This window comes from Homo sapiens, chromosome 10 (assembly GCF_000001405.40).
Source record: "Homo sapiens chromosome 10, GRCh38.p14 Primary Assembly".
Lineage (NCBI taxonomy): Eukaryota > Metazoa > Chordata > Mammalia > Primates > Hominidae > Homo > Homo sapiens.
The window spans coordinates 102,720,678-102,737,052 of NC_000010.11; the positions used below are offsets into that span (position 1 = coordinate 102,720,678).

Sequence of the window (16,375 nt, forward strand, 5' to 3'; positions counted from 1 at the left end):
TTCTCCCTCAAAGCCAATTTTTCTGTGCTCTCCCTGTTAGCACCTATCGCCCAAGTCAGAAACCCTAGGTATCACTCTGGATATTTGTCATGTGTCAACTTGGCTAAGCTAAGCAAGACTCCCGGGATTCCCTCTCTGGTATATTCCAGTTATAGTGGCTACCCAGGAGCACACACACACCATCTTCCAGCTCTTCAGACAAACAGTAATCTAGGTGCTGCTGTGAGGGGATTTTGCAGACCTAATTAAATTCCTCAATTGTTTGGCTTTAAGTTAATCAAAAGGGAGATTATCCTGGGTGGCCTGACCTAATCAGGTGGAAGCCCTTTAAAGGAGGGCTAGAACACCCCTGAACCCCCTCTGAGGTTCTGGACTCTGAGCCATTACCCGCGTTGCTCCCTCTCCCCTGGGATGGTCTGTTGCTGGCCGCCTGCCCTGCTGACTTCAGGATTGCCTAGCCAACAGCCACAGTTATGTGAGCCAATTCGCTAATTCCTTGTGATAAATCAATTTCTATATTTTATCAATATTATATTACGTCAGCATTATATATATTTAGGCCAGGAGTGGTGCATGCCTGTAATCCCAGCACTTAGGGAGGATGAGATGGGAGGATTCCTTGAGCCCAGGAGTTTGAGATTACAGTGAGCTATGATTGCACCACTCCACTCTACCCTGGGCAACCAGCTGAGACCCTGCCTAAAAAAAGAAGAAAAAATTATAAAATCTATATAGATAGATCAACATATATTTATAACATATAAAGTTATATATTTATATATGATTTTATATAGCTATATGAATTATTTATGTTTATATATTATTTTTATATGTTATATTTAAACGTAATTCATGTCTATATAAATAAATGTATATATAAATTTATATATTATAAATATATGTTGCTATATCTATAAATTTAAAAAATTATATATTTATATAGTTATATAATTTATATATTTAGAAAATATATATTATAGTATACAAATATATTTTAGAAATATATAAAATATGTATATGTGTGTGTCATAGCCAGGTGCAGTGGCACACACCTGTAATCCTGGCACTTTGGGAGGCCAAGGCAGGCAGATTGCTTGAGCTCAGGAGTTAGAGGAACTCCATGTTGCCCCATGTTATGTTTTGGTATCTACCTGTCTGTCTGTCTGTAATCTACTGATTCTGCTTCTCTGGTTGAACCTTGACTGATAAAATGTTCCTCTTATACCTATTGCTTAGCAGACCTTAACATTCCGCTTCTTTGAAAGATTCTCTCCTGTTGGTCTCTCCTCTGAGTGCACGTGGGTTCATTTGAGCCCTACCTCTTCTTGCCTGGATTACTGGGGTTCTCGTCCAGCTGGTCTCCCTGCATCCCGTGAGGTCCATCCACATCCTGTTTATTCTCATGACTACCCAGTTTGTTCTTAGTAAACTACATATCTGATCTTGTCACTCTTCTTCTTAAAGTCTTTCAATGACTCCCTGAAGCTTTCAGGCAAACATTTAAAAGCGTCAGCTTTTTTTGTATGACTCCATTTTCTCTCCTCTCTTAGCATATCAATTATACTTCTTTTGAAAACCTTTTTAGTGGTTGCCCAGGAGTCTGCAATGTACATTTATGACTAATCCAAATCCACTTTCAAATAACACTATACCACTGCATGGAGTGTGCAAGTACCTTAGAATGGAGTCCTCCCAATTCTCCCCTCCTGTCCTTGATATTACTGCTGTCATGGATTTCTCTGATCCATAAACTGTAATCACCAAATACATTGTTGCTACTATTGTTTTAAACAAACGTATCTGTTTGTTAACTGTTAACAGTTCAGAATAAGAGAAATAAAGATTTTTATTTGTTTGTTTGTTAGTGTTTTTTCCCAGACAGGGTCTCACTCTGTCGTGCAGGCTGGAGTGCAGTGGCACGATCACAGTTCACTGCAGGCTTAGCCTTAGCCTCCCAGACTCAAGCAGTCCCCGCACCTCAGCCTCCCAAGTAGCTGGGACCACAGGCACATGCAACCACGCCTGGCTATGTTTTTTTCTTTTTTAATTTTTATAGAGACAGGGTCTCACTCTGTTGCCCAGACTGGTCTCAAACTCCTGGGCTCAAGCGATGCTCCTGCCTTGGCCTGCCAAAGTGCTGGGATTATAGGTGTGAACCATCCCACCTGACCAGAAGAACTTCTTTTAACATCTTGTAAGTCAGGTCTGCCAGTGACAAATTTCCTGTTTTGTTTGTCCAAGAAAGTCCTTTTTTTTTTTTTTTTTTTTTTTTGAGACAGGGTCTTACTCTGTCACCCAGGCTGGAGTGCAGTGGCTTGATCTTGGCTCACTGCAGCCTCCGCCTCCTGGGCTCAAGCATTCCTCCCACATCAGCCTCCCCAGTAGCTGGGACTGCAGGTGTGCACCACCACACCTGGCTAATTTTTCTATTTTTTGGTAGAAAAAAAAATACAAAATGAGGTTTCACCATGTTGGCCAGGCTGGTCTCAAACTTTTGACCTCAGGTGGTCCACCGGCCTTGGCCTCCAAAGTGCTGAGATTACAGATGTGAGCTACCATGCCTGGCCGACTAGAAAGTTTTGTTTTTTTTTTTTGACAGAGTCTCACTCTGTCACCCAGGCTTGAGTGCAGTGGCGTGATCTCGGCTCACTGCAACCTCTGCTGCCCAGGTACAAGCGATTCTCCTGCCTCAGCCTCCCGAATTGCTGAGATAACGGGCACCTGCCACTGCGCCCGGCTAATTTTTGTATTTTTAGTAGAGATGGGGTTTCACCGTCTTGGTCAGGCTGGTCTCAAACTCCCGACCTCAGGTGATCCAACCGCCTCGGCCTCCCAAAGTGTTGGGATTACAGGTGTGAGCCACTGCGCCTGGCCCCAACTAGAAATGTTTTAAGGGATATAAAGCAGTTAGTACTTGAGATGATTCTTCTGTAAGATATGGGATAGGTGGAAATGGGTAACGACTAACAGAATCAGATGGTATGCATCCCCAAATAGTAATTCCAATGATCTAGGAAGACCAACATTCCCACACCATCCCTACCACCACAGACTCAGTGTTTCTCAATGAGAGACAGAATTTGTGTATGGAGGATCTGAGTCCAAGCCCTTCTATTAGTATAATTGCATTAATATTATTTGTTTCTTTTTTTTGTTTTAACTTTTACTTTAGATTCAGGGGTACACGTGCAGGTTTGTTACATAGGTAAACTTGTGTCACTGGGGTTGTACAGATTGTTTCATCACCCAGCTACTAAGTTTAGTACCCATTAGTTATTTTTTCTGATCCTCTCCCTCCTCCCACCCTTCACCCTCAAGTGAGCCCCAGTGGGGTCTGTTGCTCCCGTTTTTGTGTCCATGTGTTCTTATCATTTAGCTCCCACTTTTAAGTGAGATATTTGGTTTTCTTACTTATAAATGTGATATTTGGTTTTCTGTTCCTGCATTAGTTTGCTAAGGATAATGGCCTCCATCTTCATCCATGTCCCTGCAAAGGACGTGATCTCGTTCTTTTTTGTGGCTGCATAGTATTCCATGGTGTACATATACCACATTTTCTTTATCCAGTCTGCCATGGATGGGCCTTTTGCATTTGGACAATTTCTACTGACACGTGTTCAGGCTCACTGATTCTTTCCCTGGCCATGTCCAGTCTACTGATGAGTCCATCCAAGACTTTCTTCATCTTTGTTACAGTATTTTTGATTTCCAACATTTCCTTTTGATTCTTTCTTAAGAGTTTCCGGCTGGACGTGGTGGCTCACGCCTGTAATCCCAGCACTTTGGGAGGCCGAGGTGGGCGGATCACGAGGTCAGGAGATCGAGACCATCCTGGCTAACATGGTGAAACCCCATCTCTACTAAAAATACAAAAAATAGCTGGGCATGGTGGTGCACGCCTGTAGTCTCAGCTACTTGGGAGGCTGAGGCAGGAGAACCACTTGAACACGGGAGGCAGAGGTTGAAGTGAGCCGAGATCGTGCCATTGTACTCCAGCCTGGTGGCAGAGCAAGACTCCGTCTCAAAAAAAAAAAGATTTTCCATCACTGCTTATGTTATTTGTCTGTTCTTGTCTGTTGTCCACTTTTCCCTTCAGAGTCCTTAGAATATTAACCATCGTTGTAATTAATTAATTAATTAATTTTAACCATAGTTATTTAAAATTCCTGGTCTGATAATTCTAAAATCTCATATCTAAATCTGATTCTGATACTTGGCCTGTTTCTTCAAACTGCGTTTTTTTTTTTTTTCTTTTTAGTATGCCTTGTAATTTTTCACTGAAAGCTGGACATGATGTACCCTGTGAGAGGAACTGAGGGGTGAGGTTTTGTTTATCTAGGCTATGTTTACTGTTTGCTGTAGCTATAGGTATAAAAGGCTAAATTTTCTTCTGGTGTCCTTGTTCTTATCTCCCTTGCTGTCTATGGGTCTCTAGAGACTTCTTAAATAGGGCCTAAGACTTGTTACTCTTTTTGTTATAATCCTTGTAATGATACAGGAGCCCTGCTGGTGCAGTGGTGAGGTGAGGGAGTGGAGGATCTACAGTCCTGTGATGAGGTCTCAGTCTTCTGGGGAGCCTGTGCCCCTGAACCTTCACAAGAGCTTCTCAGCCTCCCCTTGTCCTCTTTAGGTGAGGCAGGAAGGCAAGAGGTGGCTGGAGTTCTCTTTCCCCAAGTCACTTAAGTTCTGGTACAACCCAAGATGGTTAGGCTCTGGTAAAATAGTTTCCCTCAAGGGTAGACCTTGTTGAGAAGAATAAAAGGGCTGGGCATGATAGTGCATGCCTGTAGTCCCAGCTACTTGGGAGGCTGAGGTTGGAGGATTGCTTGAGCCCAGGAGTTCGAGGTTGCAGTGAGCTATAATCATGCCTGTCAATTACCATTCACTCCAGCCTGGATAAAATAATGAGACTCTGTCTCTAAATAATAAAACAGGCCAGATGCGGCAGCTCACACCTGTAATCCCAGCACTTTGGGAGGCCGAGGCAGAAGGATTGCTTGAACCTAGGAGTTTGAAACCAGCCTGGGCAACATAGCGAGGTGCCATCTCTACAAAAAAATACAAAAATTAGCCAGGGTGGTGGTATGTGCCTGTAGTCCCAGTTACTCAGGAGGCTGACCTGGGAGGTAATAGTTGCATTGAACCATGATCACACCACTGCATCCCAGCCTGGGTGAGAGAATGAGACCCTGTCTCAAAAAAAAAGTAAAATTAAATAAAAAAAAGAAGTATAAAGGGCTTTGGGTGTTTTTTTGTTTGTTTGTTTTGTTTTGTTTTTCCCCCCAAGATGGAGTCTTGCTCTGTCACCCAGGCTCAGGCTGGAGTGCAGTGGTGTGATCTCAGCTCACTGCAACCTCTGCCTCCTGGGTTCAAGCAATTTTTCTGCCTCAGCCTCCTGAGTAGCTGGGATTACAGGTGCCTGGCACTGCGCCCGGCTCATTTTTGTATTTTTAGTAGAGATGGGGTTTCACCATGTTGGCCAGGCTGGTCTCAAACTCCTGACCTCATGATCCCCCTGCCTCGGCCTCCCAAAGTACTGGGATTACAGGCATGAGCCACTGCACCCAGCTGGCTGTTTTTCAAAATGGCTACTTTTCCCATCTCCCCTGCCAGAAACACCTGGGGGTATTATACTATTTAATGGGTGGGCTTTTGTTCCCAGAGCTCTCCAAGCACAGGCACTGTATTGTCCCCTTTTCCAGTCCCTCCTGCTGTATGGTCAAGCACAGAGCTGGCCACCAGCAGGCCCTCAGGAAACACATGTTGGTGCCCAGTTGCTCAATCTGATGACCATTCACTTGGGCCCTCCCAAGCTGAGTCAGACGATGCCCAGTAGCTGGTGAGAGCAGGCAGTCTGCAACAGTGGGACGTGCTCAGGTCCTCTGTGGTGGGCTTTGATTTAGGGGACAGTCATCTTCTTCCTTTGTCCCTTAGGTCCACAGTTTTATGTGTGAGCAAGATGGAGGCTGACCTGTCTGGCTTTAACATCGATGCCCCCCGTTGGGACCAGCGCACCTTCCTGGGGAGAGTGAAGCACTTCCTAAACATCACGGACCCCCGCACTGTCTTTGTATCTGAGCGGGAGCTGGACTGGGCCAAGGTGATGGTGGAGAAGAGCAGGTGAGGGGTCGGGGAAGGGGCTGGAAGTAGTAGGGTAACATTGATGGGGTCCTCTTGGGAGGAGGTGGAAACCGAAGGTGAAGGAATAGGCAGAAATCTCAGGGCTGGGGGCTGGAAGAAGTGAGAGTGGGGAGACTGGGAGACATTGATCAGGCAGGATGGTGACTGCCTGCTGTCCTTGGGTGGCAGGATGGGGGTTGTGCCCCCAGGCACCCAAGTGGAGCAGCTGCTGTATGCCAAGAAGCTGTATGACTCGGCCTTCCACCCCGACACTGGGGAGAAGATGAATGTCATCGGGCGCATGTCTTTCCAGCTTCCTGGCGGCATGATCATCACGGGCTTCATGCTCCAGTTCTACAGGTGGGACCTGGGGGCAGGGCCGTGGGAGGTACAGCTGCCTGGATCTGCTGGTCAGGGAGCCATACTATGATAATAATAATAGTTCTCTTGATTGGTCACTTACCAGATACCAGGCACTATGCTACATTCTTTGCTCGTATTGCTTCATTTAACCCTCGCAACAACCCTACACTATAGGTACTATTATTTCCATTTTATAGATGAAGAACTAGAGTTCTAGAGAAGCTGAAGAACTTGTCCAGGTTTAAACAGGCAGGAAATATGGGTGCCTGGATTTTAACTGAGGCAGTCCTGTGTAGAACCCTCAACAAATAAGCTACCCCAATTCCCTCTTTAAAAAGTACTTATTCCACAATGATTTTAATTATGTAACACCCAAACAAAACAATAGGAAGTCCCTTTCTTGGCTTGGTTGGGGAGAGAATAGACTGCCTCTGTAGCTGCTGGACATGTGACTCTTCTTCCTACCTCTTCCTTCCTCCCCTGCGTCCCCCACCCCACGCATTGATTGGTTCAGCTATTGAGCTGGGCTTTGGGCCGGGTGTTGGGAATGTGAAGGCTTCAGTAACCTCCCGTCAAGGAGCTCCCAGTTTTGTTGAGGAGACCAAGAAGTAAACAGTTACAGTACAGCTTGGTAAGTGGTAGGTTGGAGGAAGAACATGGGGTTGTGGGAGCAGGAGCATGGAGTGACTTACTCTGTCTCAGGAGGGGCAGGGAAAGGGTCGGGAAGGTTCCATGGAGGAAGTGATCCCTCTCAACAGGGCAGGGTTGGCCATGTATGGAAGGAGGAGGGGGAGATATTTGAGGCAGAGGGGCCAGCCTGCGCAGAAGCCCAGGTGCATAAAACAGTATGGGAACAAGCTGGGCACGGTGGCTCATGTCTGTAATCCCAGCACTTTGGGAAGCCAAGGCGGGTGGATTACTTGAGGTCAAGAGTTCAAGACCAGCCTGACCAATATGGTGAAACCCCGTCTCTACTAAAAATACAAAAATTAGCCAGGCGTGGTGGTGTGTGCCTGTAGTCCCAGCCACTTGGGAGGCTGAGACAGGAGAATTGCTTGAACCTGGGAGGCGGAGGTTGCAGTGAGCTGAGATCGTACCACTGCACTCCAGCCTGGGTGACAGAGTGAGACTCCGTCTCAAAAAAATAAAAATAAAAAACTAGTATGGGAACAGTGTGGGGACCTGCAGATCATGTGCTTTGACTGGCATACCCTCAGGACTCCCTGCCATCTGACTTCTCTCTGCCTCTCCTGGCCTTCCTCACTGGTAGGACGATGCCGGCGGTGATCTTCTGGCAGTGGGTGAACCAGTCCTTCAATGCCTTAGTCAACTACACCAACAGGAATGCGGCTTCCCCCACATCAGTCAGGTAGGAGACCTGAACCCCAGGCTGTCCTCGTGTCTCCCCACGAACAGCTTTTCTAAAGGGTTCTGGGCTGTCAGTCCTTCCTGGGTAGCACCTGCACTGAGCAGGTGACCAAGTCACCCTTTCCCAGGGTTTGGAAATATTTTCTCAAGCTGAGTAGGGGTGGATCTTCTTCCTAGACCAATTCCAAATGTGTTTATTCATTCATTCTCTAAATATTTCTTCTTGAGTGTGTCTTATGTGCTGGGGATGTGCATGGTTCTAGATGCTGGGATACATTGTTAAGACATGTGGTTGGGCCAGGCACGGTGGTTCTCACCTGTAATCCTAGCGCTTTGGGAGGCTGAGGCAGGCAGATTGCCTAAGATCAGTCTCAAAACAAACAAAAAAAACCACCCAGAAAACCAGGGTTGCAAGGCAGAGAACAGCAGAGCGGTGTCTGTGTAGTTAGGCCACTTAGAGCAGTCCCATCTGTGAAGACGACATTTCAACTGTCCTGAAGGATGAGGGATGAATGACCCAAGAGCCCAGGGAACACCTCCCCGCATAGGGAGCAGCCGTGTGCAGAGGCTCCGAGGCAGGGAGGAACTTGGCATGTTCACAGTACTGAAAGAAGACCAAGGGGGCTGGAGCACTGTGAGTGAGGGGGAGAGGGTCACAAGATAAGGCTGGGGACAGATCCTGTGCGGTTTTCACGCACGAAGCCTCGCCAGCCGACTTTCTCCCTGAAGCCCGTGGTTTGGCCCTCAGCCGGCAGGGGCCCCACTCCCAAGCATCTCTCTCCTCCCCCAGGCAGATGGCCCTTTCCTACTTCACAGCCACAACCACTGCTGTGGCCACGGCTGTGGGCATGAACATGTTGACAAAGGTATGGTCTGGGGCCGCTGCAGCATGGTGGCCACGCGGGGGCAGCAGAGTCCTAGGGAAAACGTCCTTCCCCCAGGGACAGTTCCCCAGGCTGGGTGAGTTGGGAATGGCCAGAGCCCGGCTGGCCAAGTGATGAGAAATACACCAGGGCCGTCCCCAGGTTGGTTCTTCTTGGGCCTTTGAGGGAGTTTGGGGTTCCCAGACTGGGTGTCTGGATGTGTGGCGGTAGCAAGGCCTAGTTTTCTTTTTTGTATTCTAGTCGTTCAGCCCCCTCCCCTCCCATCTTCCAGCGCTTCTGAACAACTCCTACTGTTCTCTTCCCCCAACAGAAAGCGCCGCCCTTGGTGGGCCGCTGGGTGCCCTTTGCCGCTGTGGCTGCGGCTAACTGTGTCAATATCCCCATGATGCGACAGCAGTGAGTAAAGGCCCCTTTTTCTCCCTACAAACCACAAGATTAGCAGAAAAGGGGCAAGAAACCAAAGCAGTGGGTGGCTTCTGGGGACTGCGGTGGGCATGGGGAGGGCTGCTGGGCTGAGCCTCTGAAGGGCCCTGGGATTGGCAGCTCCCATGGTGATGGCCCCGGGAGTGGTGGGTGACTTTGGGTTAGGCCGTGTGTTGAGTCCCGTGGGAGTCCTCTCCTGGGTGATGTGGGATGGGAAAGACAGGGTGGACCTGTGGAGTTTTACACTGGATCATGTCCTTTTGGACCTGTGTTAAAATTGTGAACTCCTCCTACTTCCCAAGCCCTGGGGATGGCATACAGAATGAAATGTAGCAGGCTGAGGTGTCTAAAGATAGCATAGAACCCAGAAGCTTTGAAAGAAGCCAGAGGAGTAGACAGAAGTTTTCCAGGCACCCAACTCTAAGCTTTTCAGGAGAAAAGGTAAAGGAGAAACTCATTGTGTCTCACAGTTCTTATTTCTTGACTAGAGAAATCTCTGTTATGAGGTTTTAATGATGTAATATATGTAAAGCACTCAAAATAGCACCTGGAACATAAGAGATGCTACATAAGTGTTCACTGTTATTTCTACCATTGTCATCATCATCAATATCTACAAGCCACATTTTCTTGGGACTACCAACAAATGGAAAATGTTCACACTAGTCTTTGTAGAGGAAGCACTACCAGAATAGTTGTGCACACATGCTGCTCCATTCATCTTTCCTTCCCCATCCAGTGGCCCTTTCCTAACAGGAGAATGAGTCCCTGCCACCTACCGGGGCTTGAGTTGAGTGCTGTCAAGAACTGGCCTGAGAAGAACAGCTGGGGTGGGCTGGGTGCGGTGGCTCACGCCTGTAATCCCAGCACTTTGGGATGCTGAGGCAGGAGGATCACCTGAGGCCAGGAGTTTGAGACCAGCCTGGCCAACATGGCAAAACCCCATCTCTACTAAAAATACAAAAATTAGGGCCAGGCGTGGTAGCTCACGCCTGTAATCCCAGCACTTTGGGAGGCTGAGGTGGGCGGATCACGAGGTCAGGAGATCGAGACCATCCTGGCTAACACGGTGAAACCCCGTCTCTACTAAAAAATACAAAAAATTAGCCAGGTATGGTGGCGGGTGCCTGTAGTCCCGGCAACTTGGGAGGCTGAGGCAGGAGAATGTTGTGAACCCGGGAGGCGGAGCTTGTAGTGAGCCAAGATCGCACCACTGCACTCCAGCCTGGGTGACAGAGTGAGACTCCATCACAAAAAAAAAACCAAAAAACAAAAACAAAAATTAGCCGGGCATGGTGGCGCATGCCTGTAATTCTAGCTACTGGGGAGGTTGAGGCAGGAGAATCGCTTGAACCCAGGAGATGGAGGTTGCAGTGAGCCAAGATCATGCCACTACACTCCAGCCTGGGTGACAGAGTGCGATTGTCTCAAAAAAAAAAAAAAAAAAAAAAGGAATAGCTAGAGTAGCTACTGTTTGTGGAGTGATCACACTGTGTGTCAGGTGCTGGACCAAGTATTTCATAGCCATTATCTCATTTAATCCTTACCAGGTCCTGTAAAGTGGGTGCCAGGATGATCCCCATTTTGCAGATAAGCAAAACTGAGGCTTTGGGAGGGTTAAAGACTGTGCTCAAGGTCACACACATCCCCTGCAGTTTCAGGACTCAACCCAGACAGTCCGGGCCCAGGGCCACCGCTCTCAGCCACTGCCCTAGATCACTCCTAAGATACTGCTTATTGGAGTGCAGAAGGAAGGTCAAAGGCCCAGGCTACAGGAGGTGGCTTCCTGGAGCTTAAGTGGCCTGGCCTTGGTCCCCTGGCATGTCATGTGGCTGGCAGGCTTCCATCACCCCTTTCCCAAGTCCATTAACTCCTGTCTGTGTTTAGGGAGCTCATAAAGGGAATCTGCGTGAAGGACAGGAATGAAAATGAGATTGGTCATTCCCGGGTGAGCAGAGGCCTCCCTTTGGGGTGGGAGGAGGGAATTCCCTCTCATACCCTGTCCCCTCCTTAGTGGTCAGAGTAGGCACCAATATAGGATTGAGAAGCCTTTTCTGGCTCCATCCTCACTCCCTATCAAATTTTCCCCATGTTTCTCTGTTCAGAACAGGCCCCTTCTCTCTTTTCTCCATCATTTCTGGTCCATAAAAACCTGGCTAGGTGGGAGGGGATAAAGTGAGGTCACTCAGCAACTGGAGGGTCCTTCCCTTCCCCTTTACCATCTCAGACTTGGCCATGATGCTGACCCAGCCCCCTGGTGCAGCACATGTACACTGGATACATCATTTCTGACAACTTACTATTTTCTGCCCTCAGAGAGCTGCGGCCATAGGCATCACCCAAGTAGTTATTTCTCGGATCACCATGTCAGCTCCTGGGATGAGTAAGATGGGGAAGCCCTTCCATCCTGGGGAAGCCTGTGACACAGGGTGGAGGTCTCAGCCACACTCAGCTTTTGGGTGGGAGGTGGGGCCCACCTTCTACAGCCATGCTTCTCAAACTGCTTTGCTTGATTGCTGTAAGCCTAGAAGAACCACACTAGTTCCTAGAACATCAGTTCATCCAAGGTTTGGGGTAGAAAGTTATTTTCATTTTATTAATACTTGTCAAGCCCTTGTGTTTAATGTTAGACACAGTGTGGGGTGCTAGGGAGAGTGATAGAGAAAATAAATTCCCTGCTTTGGTTTGCTTCCAGCAGTGGGTGTATTGCAAAATTTGTTTGCACGAACGTACAAATACATTTTTGAGTTTTGAGAAGGTAGCTTTGGACCTAGCAGCACATGTTTTCCTGATATTGCAAGTGTGCAGGTTGAGAAGCTTGGGAAGCACTGTTCTGCCAGGACTTTGGGGAGAAAGTTTGGGGGTGGTCATGCCTACTTGCTCTTCTGTTCTGCCTAGTGGTAAGTATTTTCTGGAGCTTCTGCTGAAGGAGAGGGAACCACTTGGTTCCTGGTCTGACTTCAGAAGGAGTCCTGGGGAGAGCCTCCCAGCCCTCCCCTCAGCTTCTCCCTGGTCTCTTCCAGTCTTGCTGCCAGTCATCATGGAAAGGCTTGAGAAATTGCACTTCATGCAGGTATGTAGGGTTTGCTTTGGCATTTTCCCTGCCCAGAGTGCGTCCAGCCACATCTGTCCCTAGGGATACCTGACCTGCCCTCCCCCACCCATCCTTCCCTTTAGCTACCATGCTGTCATCTCACTCAAGCCCACACCAATCTCCACTGACCTCCTGTTTAGATATACCATGGCCAGTTTCCTTACCTGGTCTGCAGAGAACAAGGCCTTCTTTAAGGGCCAGGGGGTCCTTGCCTGTGGGTTTTTCTTTTTTCTTTTGAGATGGAGTCTCGCTCTGTCGCCCAGGCTGGAGTGCAGTGGCGCGATCTTGGCTCACTGCAAGCTCCGCTTCCTGGGTTCATGCCATTCTCCTGCCTCAGCCTCCCGAGCAGCTGGGACTACAGGTGCCTGCCACCACGCCCAGCTATTTTTTTTGTATTTTTAGTAGAGACGGGTTTTCACTGTGTTAGCCAGGATGGTCTCGATCTCCTGACCTTGTGATCTGCCCATCTCGGTCTCCCAAAGTGCTGGGATTACAGGCATGAGCCACTGCGCCCAGCCACCTGTGGGCTTTTCTAGCTGGCTGATCCATGGCAGAGCAGGGTTGGGGTTCACCTTAAGGCATAGAAGTACCATGTGGATCTGTCTTTTATTTGTTTTTATACAGAAAGTCAAGGTCCTGCACGCCCCATTGCAGGTCATGCTGAGCGGGTGCTTGTAAGTATCATATTTTGATGATTTGGGTTCTGCGTGGCTGGAGCACTCAAGATGTGTCGTCTTGTCTAGCCCGTGTTGGAGAACGTGTACTCCTTTACCTGACTTTAAAAGTGGTCAAGCTCAGAATACCTGTGGTCCATCTGGAAAGCTCTCACCCCATCTTTTGTGAGGGCATCAGGCTGGCTAGACTTTATGCACGTGTCCATGTAGGAAGTCCAGTGCTGAGGTGCCCTCCCATCCCAGGGTCTCTCCTTTGACCTTAAGTCTGGAGCAATTTTTTTGTTTTTTGCTTTTTTTTTTTTGAGATGGAGTCTCGCTCTGTCGCCCAGTCTGGAGTGCAATGGCGCAGCCTCAGCTCGCTGCAACCTCCACCTCCCAGGTTCAAGCAATGCTCCTGCCTCAGCCTCCTGAGTAGCTGGGATTACAGGCACGCACCATGATGCCTTGCTAATTTTTGTATTTCATCATGTTGGCCAGGCTGGTCTCGAACTCCTGACCTCAAGTGATCCACCTGCCTCGGCCTCCCAAATTGCTGGGATTATAGGCATGAGCCACTGCGCCTGGCTGTCTGGAGCAGTTTTACAGAAGAGATAAGAACGAGGAGACATAGCTTTGGCTGGGACTGTCATGTGTCCCAGACTCACACAGGAGGGAAATGCCACCAGTCACGTCAGGGTTCTTAGGTATCTGCCATTAACTGGAGATGTCCTAGCGTTCACCATGCATTTCAGGGCCACGAGACTAATGACAGCATCACTAACAGCTAACACTGACTGTATATTTTCTCTGTGTCCCCACTGAACCCAGTGTTTCATATCTATAATTTCACTTAATTCTCCCAGCCTTAGAAATCTACATATTATTATCATCTCCTTTTACAAATGAAGAAACTGAGACTTAGACAGAGTAAGAAACTTGCCCAAGGGTATATAGCTGGTAACTGCTGGAGCTGAGATTTGATCAACAGTCTAACATTATGCTATACCAACTTCTGCTAATTGAGTAGTTACCATGGGCTGGGTGCTTTACATACATATCTCATTGAATCCTCACAGTAACCCTGCAAAGTAGGCACTGCAAAGTGGTCTGCAGTAGCCCTAAAAAGTAGGTTGTCCTCCCTCTGTGTCTCTGAGGTAACTTGTCCAAGATGGCACAGCTAGTAAGTGGTAAAACTGGGATACCAACCCAGGTCTGTCAGAGTCCCGCGTCCTGTAAGACCTTGCCTCCCAAACCCTGGTCCATGCCAGCATCGTTGGCATCCTCTGATAACTTGTTAGAAGTAAAGACTCTGAAGTCCTTCCCCAGACCCCCTCAGTTGGCACCTGGCATTTTAATAAGCTCCTGAAGTTATATGCACAGTGAAGCTGGAGAAACTGCCTTTCACTGTGCTCTGACAGCCCAGGTGTTCAACCAATAAAGAAGCAGGTCTCAGAATCCACAGACTCACTCCTCCCCCTCCATAGTGCCCCTCCCCCACTCCAAAGTGCCCCTCCCCATCCTGGTCACTCCTCCCGATACAAGTCAATCCTCCCCCTCCAAGTTGCTCCTCTCCCTCCTCATCCCTCCTCCCCTCTGTGTCCTTCCTCCCTCTCCATGTTGCTCCTCCCCTCCATGTCCTTCTCCCTCTCCATGTTGCTCCTCCCTGTCCAAGTAGTTCTTCCTACTCCAAGTAGTTCCTTCCCTCCAAGTCACTCCTCCCCCTTCAAGTCGCTCCTCCCCATCCAAGTTGCTCCTCAACCTCCAAGTCATTCTTCCCTCTCCAAGTCGCTCCCCACCCTCCATGCTGTTCCTCCAAGTTGCTCCTGTCCCTCCATGTCGCTCCTCCCCCTCCATGTCCCTCCTCTCCCTCCATGATGCTCCTCCCCTCCATGTCGCTCTTCCCCCTCCATGTTGCTCCTCCCCCTCCAAGTTTCTCCTCTCCCTCCTCGTCGCTCCTTTCGCTCGATGCCAGCAGTGCCTGTGCTCCTTAGGCCTGCTGCTCACAGTCCCTGTTTACTTCATTGTCTTCTTCCTCTGCTTGAACAATGCAGTAAGGGTGGGAATGAGTGATGGGGGTCAGGAGGGTACTGGTTTTATCCCCCTGCCAGAATGAGTATCCTCGCACTGCGGGAACAGGAGGAGGGTTGGAGGGAGAGGATATGGTGCCAGCTGGGAAGGCAGGCCAGGTGCCTGGGCATTGCTCCTTTCCCTTGGGGATGGGGGATGGACGGGCCTGTGGGGAGATGTCCCCTGATGCTTTGGTTTCTCCTTTCTTGCAGCCTCATCTTCATGGTGCCAGTGGCGTGTGGGCTTTTCCCACAGAAATGGTATCTGCTGTTCATTCCTTACTTGGTTTAATTGACCATGCTGCCAGCGCGCTCCCTGATCTGCCTGCTGTCCAGAAGGAGACAGGGAAGGGGCAGGAAGGGCAGCACCTGTCTGAGGACAAGTGTCCATCAGCCTAAAGGCTGGGCCTCTTAACCCTGGTGAATTCTGACAAACGAAAACAGATCTGCGAGGGGCAGGAGAAGCCAGGGACAGGAATAAGGTTGCTCCCTCCCAGTGGAGCAAGCACTGCCTTGAAGAGAAGGTGGGGGAGCAACAACAGACTTTCTCTTCCTGCCAGCTGGGTTATTAGGAAGCTCTCCTCTGGCTGGATCTGGTTTTTAACTTTTTTTTTTTTCTTTTTTTTGAGATGGAGTTTCACTCTTGTTGTCTAGGCTGGAGTGCAGTGGCACGATCTCGGCTCACCACAGCCTCCGCCTCCCAGTTCAAGTGATTCTCCTGCCTCAGCCTCCAGAGTAGCTGGGATTACAGGTGCCTGCCACCATGCCCAGCTCATTTTTTTTTTTTTTTTTGAGATGGAGTTTCACTCCGTCGCCAGGCTGGGGTGCAGAGGTGCAGTCTCGGCTCACTGCAACCTCCGACTCCCTGAACGATTCTCCTGCCTCAGCCTCACGAGTAGCTGGGATTATAGGCACGTGCCACCACGCACAGCTAATTTTTGTATTTTTAGTAGAGACGGGGTTTCACCATGTTGGCCAGGATGGTCTCAATCTCCTCACCTTGTGATCCGCCCGCCTCAGCCTCCCAAAGTGCTGGCACTACAGGCGTGAGCCACCGCGCCTGGCCTCATTTTGTATTTTTAGTAGAGATGGGGTTTCACCATGTTGGCCATGGTTGGTCTTGAAATCCTGACCTCAGGTGATCTGCCCGCCTCAGCCTCCCAAAGTATTGGGATTACAGGCGTGAGCCACCGTTCCCCGTTGGTCGTTAACATTAAATAAGGGGGCTGGTCGTGGTGGCTCACGCCTGTAACCCCAGCACTTTGGGAGGCCGAGGTGGGCAGATCACCTGAGGTCGAGAGTTCAAGACCAGCCTGACCAACATGGAGAAACCCCGTCTCTACTAAAAATACAAAATTATCTGGGTGTGGTGGTGCATGCCTGTAATCCCAGCTACTTGGGAAG

General features: G+C 49.0%; 1 protein-coding gene across 14 annotated transcripts in view, besides 2 other annotated features; it reads left to right on the top strand.

The window, feature by feature from the left end:
* The window catches only part of SFXN2 (sideroflexin 2), a 28,857-nt gene that overhangs the window by 6,042 nt on the left and 6,440 nt on the right, over nucleotides 1-16,375 (top strand). For 6 of the 14 annotated variants that reach the window (XM_047424568.1, XM_011539261.3, XM_047424569.1 and 3 more), the window contains 10 exons: nucleotides 5,935-6,120; nucleotides 6,310-6,480; nucleotides 7,754-7,852; nucleotides 8,642-8,717; nucleotides 9,046-9,131; nucleotides 11,046-11,106; nucleotides 11,475-11,541; nucleotides 12,182-12,231; nucleotides 12,877-12,926; nucleotides 15,185-15,232. In XM_047424568.1, the coding sequence (XP_047280524.1) occupies nucleotides 5,935-6,120; nucleotides 6,310-6,480; nucleotides 7,754-7,852; nucleotides 8,642-8,717; nucleotides 9,046-9,131; nucleotides 11,046-11,106; nucleotides 11,475-11,541; nucleotides 12,182-12,231; nucleotides 12,877-12,926; nucleotides 15,185-15,232 (894 nt within the window). Of the gene's footprint in view, nucleotides 1-4,258; nucleotides 4,320-4,408; nucleotides 4,631-5,934; nucleotides 6,121-6,309; nucleotides 6,481-6,997; nucleotides 7,115-7,753; nucleotides 7,853-8,641; nucleotides 8,718-9,045; nucleotides 9,132-11,045; nucleotides 11,131-11,474; nucleotides 11,542-12,181; nucleotides 12,232-12,876; nucleotides 12,932-15,184; nucleotides 15,233-16,375 lie in introns of those variants that run through there. The other 8 variants (XM_024447792.2, XM_047424571.1, XM_047424573.1 and 5 more) reach the window with 8 other exon arrangements.
* Nucleotides 8,096-8,870: an enhancer, noted in NCBI's record as "H3K4me1 hESC enhancer chr10:104488530-104489304 (GRCh37/hg19 assembly coordinates)". NCBI's record gives its function as "activates a minimal SCP1, AML or CMV promoter by ChIP-STARR-seq in primed H9 embryonic stem cells {active_cell/tissue: H9 hESC(primed)}" and the evidence as "EXISTENCE:reporter gene assay evidence [ECO:0000049][PMID:30033119]".
* Nucleotides 8,871-9,643: an enhancer, noted in NCBI's record as "H3K4me1 hESC enhancer chr10:104489305-104490077 (GRCh37/hg19 assembly coordinates)". NCBI's record gives its function as "activates a minimal SCP1, AML or CMV promoter by ChIP-STARR-seq in primed H9 embryonic stem cells {active_cell/tissue: H9 hESC(primed)}" and the evidence as "EXISTENCE:reporter gene assay evidence [ECO:0000049][PMID:30033119]".